Source organism: Homo sapiens, chromosome X (assembly GCF_000001405.40).
Source record: "Homo sapiens chromosome X, GRCh38.p14 Primary Assembly".
In the NCBI taxonomy this organism is placed as follows: Eukaryota; Metazoa; Chordata; class Mammalia; order Primates; family Hominidae; genus Homo; species Homo sapiens.
This window is the reverse complement of record NC_000023.11, coordinates 109,293,700-109,300,324: the sequence shown is the minus strand read 5'-3', so window position 1 is coordinate 109,300,324 and position 6,625 is coordinate 109,293,700. Positions and strand designations below refer to the sequence as shown.

The 6,625-nt window shown below is 41.5% G+C and overlaps 1 annotated feature.

Annotated features, from left to right (window-relative positions):
• Positions 616–1,216: an enhancer, noted in NCBI's record as "OCT4-NANOG hESC enhancer chrX:108542338-108542938 (GRCh37/hg19 assembly coordinates)". NCBI's record gives its function as "activates a minimal SCP1, AML or CMV promoter by ChIP-STARR-seq in naive H9 embryonic stem cells {active_cell/tissue: H9 hESC(naive)}" and the evidence as "EXISTENCE:reporter gene assay evidence [ECO:0000049][PMID:30033119]".

Genomic DNA, 6,625 nt, shown 5'->3' with positions numbered 1-6,625 from the left:
TTCTGTACAATTTAGCTTAGGATAAGTTTCATTCTTGAGTCATCAAAAACCCTTTAAGGAGGCCCTCCTCCTGTTTAATTATTTAGAAAGAAACTTGCAACATACTCTGATAAATATTAATACTCATTTCTTGATATCTAAAGAGCTCAGAAAACTGTGCTTTAACAGAACTGCTGAAAATGTAATTTTATCACAGGGACTAACTACCAAATTTATGGTTACACAATTAACGTGACTCCCTTATTTGGTTACCCCAAACATGAGTTGATCATTAATGGATATTTTGAGATTTATTCAGCTGTGTGTCTATCCAACTGATTGCTTAGTGAAGGACCCACAATTGGTGTTAGAAATTGTTTTTTGTAACAGCTAACATTTATTGAATGTTTGCTATGTGCCAAGATTTGCTCTAAGAGTTCTATATGTAATATCACATATAATCTTTCCAGAAACAATCTGAAAGAAGTACTATTACTATTTATTACTATTCTGCTTTATTAATGAAGAAACTGAGGCACAGAGAAGTGAAGGTTGTTACCTAAAGTCATGCAGCTGGTAAGTGGTATAGCCAGGATTCAAACTTTAACAGTCAAGTTCGAGTCCTTGCATTTAGCCACTATGCTAAAGGAATCTTACCATAGGCACAAAGTTCAATTAAAAACAAAACAAAACAAAAACCCTCCTAGGCTTGAAATCAAGAAAGCTTAGTCTGATTCTGGCTCTGCCATTGTCTTGCAAAACTTACGGAAATTCCCTCTATTTCTTCATGACTATATTATAGAAATGTCAAGAGAATATAATTTTAAAATGTGAAAGAGCAATGGGCTTTTCAAAAGAAAGGTATTATAGGGATCTGAGGTGTTATCGTTTCTCATTGTCTTTCAAAGATCCCACAGAAAAGACTGGCTTTTGCTGGCTGTGTGTTTTGCAGTTTGACCCCCATTGTTCTTCTTTCAGTCTCTTCAGGAGAAAAATCCTTAGAAGTTAGACTTGAAAAATGTCCAGCAGAGCAGTCAACCTCTTGCTTGCTCAGGCAGGATTGCTCCCCATGACGCACCCCATGTGTTTTTGTTTAGTGTTTCCAATCTTCAGAGTATGTGCCTTCCTCTGAATGTTTTGTTGGAAATGTTCTGCAAACATTTTCTTTCTTCTGTAAGGTCTATATGTTACATTGAGTTGTAATCTTCTAATTCCTAGCCAGATAAAATTATGAAACACTAAGGAATTGTTTTTTGAATCCCATGTCTGTTCTGTAGCATCATCACCATTATTACAAGGTGCTAAAATTTGTATGTACCACAAAGAAGAAAAAAGTCTTAGTTCCCAGGAAACACTATAATTTTGGTTGTGCCAGAGGAAGGTGGAAAGCCCCTAGTAACTGGAACTGTATGTGGTTATGATTGTACAAACTAGGGGGCCATGGCAGGAAATCCATACTCTGGAAAAAATATCAATGCTAATAGGAGTCTTGGCCCAGGAAGAAAGTCACCATTATCCATTTCCTCATTTCTCTTCCCCACCTTATCTCCTTCCCTGCTGATAAGATTCAAGACTCCGCGAATGATCTGATGTAGGGTGACCAGGTAAGTTATCACCCAAATTAGGACACTCTTTAAGGTATTCTTAACAACTAAATCAAGACAATAGGAGTAAGCTGGACTGTCTCAGGCAAACTGAGGGAGCTGGACTGTCTCAGGCAAACCGAGGGGGCTGGGTTCCCTATTCTAGAGATAGCTACAGCTCTCCAATACTTGAGAGTGTAAATTCACATTAGAGGACTCTACTCTAGGCCTACATTTGACATCACAGGAGTGCCCCACAGTTGCCCAGGATAGCACAGTGAAATGACAGCTTTCTGAGCACTGCAATTCACCAGGGTATCAGCTGTGGTTTTTGTGTGAATATCTGTGCAGCATCTTTTTGAACGATTGCAAAAAAAGAAGAACAATTAGCACATTCATTAATTAGAGCCTTGTTTTAAATTCTGGTGTGAAGGGTAATCTTTTGTTAACTTGAATGAGATCCTAAGCCTACCCTAAGCTTTAATTATAGTGTTATTATTTAAAAATATTGGCTGGCCCTGCTCCAAGATACAAGAGTGTTTAAATTTAAATACTGTAGAGATAATTTAAACACATTTTAATTTACCAATGGGTACTAATCACTCAATGGAATTTTAGACTGTTTAGTTCAAACAAATGATTAAGATGACAACAGACCCTCAATTATGTTCATCACATTTTAAAATTCTCATGGTTAAGGAGCATGAGTACCTATAAATGGGTATGCATCTGTTTATGGATGTTTCTAAAGTGTCATGTCTTTGAACTGTCATGACAGTCTATAACATATGGCTACTGGAGAGTTGCAACTTTTCAGGGAGACTGGCCTGGTTTTGGACTTCTGCTCTGCTATAAGCCATACTAATTTCATGTCTCTTGGCAAGTTAGAATCTTCTCTAAGTTTTAGTTTCCCATTTTTAAAATGAGATTAATGATATCTCCCGCAGAGCAGAATTTTTGAGAATTAATGAGCCAGGATATGTGAAGTGCTGGACACACAGTAGACCCCTGATAAATAGTAGCTACTATCATTTACATAGCCATCTTGTTTATAACTGTGTTTTCTTGTGTGTACCACCATGTTTATATTTTCCAGGCATCCATATTTGACTTTGTATACATGTACCTATATGGGTATATACATATGTGTTTTGGTATTTGGCAATGTGTACCTGTGTGTGTGTCTGTGTGAGTGCAGAAGCCATGGTATGCAACTACATCCATGCATATATTGAGTGAGGGTGCATACGGGGAAGAGGTATGTTACATCTGCATGAATGCATTTCACTGCACTTTCTGCACTTCATGATCTCAAACTGTGCTGTGAAGACCACCTTAAGCATGACTCCTCCATTTCTAAAAATATCTTAAACTTTTTGGCCTTGATTTCATCCTTAGGAGGCCTAGGTAGTAGAGATGGTTTCTTTCTTTTATGAATTTGTGTGTATGTATGTTTTGGAACCAACAGGTCACAATTAGCTACTTCCTTTCTCCTCCTTCCTTTTTTCCCCTTGCCCTCAAGTAACTTCTCCTCCTTACCCTTCCCTTCATTGTCTACAACCTTACTGACTTTTCACCCTAGTAACAGTGAGGGGAAGAACATCTGAAAGAGTTGGACAGCAATCCTTGGCTCTGAAACAAATTGTAAGCCCATTCAATGTGAACTCAAATTTGTGTCCCTGTGTGTTAGACAAGCGGATTTGCATGTAAGAGGAAGAACATACAGGTTAGAAAATCACCATAGCCAAATGTAGAGGTAGATCCTCACCTTTGTGGTATGATTTTAGAATAACCAGAAAGGCTTCTTCAACTGAGGTTTGTTCTCATGCGGGCCTGCTGTAGCACCTGAATGTCCACCATTAGGTCCTTTGTATGGCAGAGACTATTCCCTGTGATGCAGACACAGCTGCGATGGCCAGCTTCAGGGTACCCTTGTTACATTAAAGAGTGCCAAGGCTCTGATCCATTAATTAAACCGACATTCTCAACTATTGAAGAGTCATGGGAACCTCTAGGAATATTCTGCTGAGGCTTGAGTTTTCACTTAAGAGAGGGAAGCACTAGGGACAAATAATTTGGTTGGGACAAACCCCACTGGTTCCTTAATTTCCCCTTTCTGCTTTTCCCTGATCTATGAAGCATGAACCACATGAAGGTCCTAGGTTGCTGATGGGGTTCAGGCACAAAAATGCCCTCCCTGTCCTCCTTACTCCTCTCCAGCTTGTTACACGAGGCCCTCCTCATTCCTGCTAGGAATAAACCAGATCAGATAGACCAATGTGAAACTATTTTGGATAACCTTTCCCAGGAATGTTGGCACTTTAAAAGAAGGGCTGGGGACAGCTTTGTGCAATCCTCCCCACGCTTAAGCAGTGTTTCCACACTCTCAAATTAACCTTATCTCTGTCCCTTACTCAAAACAGTCTCTAATTTCTTCCACAGTGAAACCCATCTATTTGTTAGAGAGGAAGAATTCTGATTAAACTAACTTGACTTAAGGTGTGGATGGCAACTGGCTTAATATATTTATTTTCCAAATTTTGAAGGGAAACTTGTTAAAAATAATACTAATTAAAAAAAAACCCTCGTGGGAGGAGGCACAGCATGATGGCAGAATAGAAGGCTCCACCAATCATTGCCACTTCAAGGATACCAATTTAACACTATCTAAACAGAAAAAGCACCTTCATAAGAGCAAAAAATCATGTGAGCACTCCTAGTACCTGGCTTTGACATATCACTGATAGAGGTACTGAAGAGATAGAAAATACAGTATTAAATTGCTGGTGCTACCCTCCCCTACCCCTGGCAGTGGCCTTGTGGTATGGAGAGCACCTCTCTGGGAGGGAGAGCAATACAATTGTGAAGCAGTTAACTCAGTGCTCTCCTGTTAGAGCAGAAAGGAAAACTGGACTAAACTCAGCTAATGCCCACCCACGGAGGGATCATTTAAACCAGACCAAGCGAGGGGGGAATCGCTGATCCCAGAGTCAGAAACTGAGTTCCTGCAAACCTCACCACTGTGGGCTAAAGTGCTCTGTGCTCTAAATAAACTTGGAAGGTATACTAGGCCATAAAGACTGCAACTCATAGGTGAGTACTAGTGCTGAACTGGGCCCAGAGGCAGTGGACTGCAGGACACGAGATACTGAGAAAAAAGCTGGAGCAGTCAAGGGAGTACTGGCATCACTCCTCCCCTAACCCCAGGCTGCACAGCTAATGGTGCCAGAAGAGACCCCTGTTTTCCACTTGAAGAGAGGAGAGGGAAGAGTAGGGAGGACTTTGTCTTGCATCTTGAATACCAGCTCAGCCACAGGAGAATAGGGCAATGGTCAAAGTCATGAAACTCCCTGTTCAAGCCCTAGCTCATGAACAACATTTCTAGACACACCCTGGGCTAGAAGGAAACCTGCTGCCTTGAAGGGAAGGACCAAGTCCTGGTAGCATTGATGACCTGTTAACTGAAGAGCCCTTGGGCCCTGAATAATTAGCAGCAATACCCAGGTACTACATCAGGAGACTTGGGTGAGCCTCTTAAACTTGCTGGCTTCAGGTGAAACTCAGCACATTACTAGCTGTGGTGACTATGGGGTGCACCTCCTTCTGCTTGAGAAAAGCAAAGGGAAAAGTAAAAGGAACTTTCTCTTGCACCTCAGGTAGCAAAACAGCCTCAGGAGGGTAGAACACCTAGCGGGCTCTTGGGGCACCTGATTCCAGGACTTGACTCTTGGATGGGAACTCTGGACCTGCTCTGGGCCAGAAGGAAGCCCACTGTCATGAAGAGTGAATCCCAGGCCAGGCAGCATTCACCGAAACTTAAATAAGAGCACTTGGGCCTTCAGGGAACATCAGTAGTAGTCTGGAAGTACTCCTTGTAGCCTTTGGTGGTGGTGGCTACAGGGTGAAGCTCTTCTGCCTTTGGAGAGGGGAAGGAAGAGTGGCAAGGATTGTGTCTTGTGGTTTGAGTGCCAGCTCAGCCACACTACAGTAGAACACCAGGTAGACTGCTAAGGTTTTTGACTCTAGTCCTTGACTCCTACATGGCACCTCTGGATGCATCCAGGGCATAAGAGACCTCACTGACCTGAAGGGAAGGACACAGGTCTGGCAGGCTTCAACATCTGGTGATTGTAAAGCCCCAGGGCTTTGAATGAGCATAGGCAGTAGTCAGGGAGTGGTTACAGCAGGCCTTGGGTGAGACCCAGTGCTATGTTGGCTTCAGATCTGCCCCTGCTTGGTCATAGCAGTGGGGGCAACAGGGGAGCTTGTGTCACCCCACTCCAGCTTTAGGGGGTTCAGAACAGAGAGAGATACCCCGTATGTTTGGGAGAAAATAAAGAAAGAGAACAAGAGTCTCTGCTTGGTAATCCGGAGGATTCTCCTGGATCTTATCCAAGATCATCAAAGTGGTTTATGAGTCTGCAAAAACCACAGCGTTACTGGGCTTAGGGTTCCTCCCAAAGCAGATACAGCTTAGATCCCAACACCCAAGACCTTTTAAATATCTGGAAAGCCCTCCCTAGAAGAACAGGTACAAACATGCCCAGACAGTGAAGAATATAATAAATATCTAACTCTTCAATGACCAGACACTGAAGAATCCCTAATAGCATCAACACCATCCAGGAGAGCATGACCTCGCCAAATGAACTAAATAAGGCACCAGGGGCTAATCCTGGAGAAACTGAGATATGTGACGTTTTAGACAGAGAATTCAGCAAAGCTGTGTTGAGGAAACTCAAATTCAAAATAACACAGAGAAGGAAATTAGATTTCTATCCAATAAATTTAACACAGAGATTGAAATAATTAAAAAGAACCTAGTAGAAATTCTGGGGCAGAAAAATTAACTGGCATACTGAAGAATGCATCAGAGTCCTTTAATAACATAATTGATCAAGCAAAAGAAATTATGTTTTTAATATTTTTTTTTATTATATTTTAAGTTCTAGGGTACATGTGCACAACGTGCAGGTTTGTTACACATGTATACATGTGCCATGCTGGTGTGCTGCACCCATTAACTCATCATTTACATTAGGTATATCTCCTAAAGCTATCTC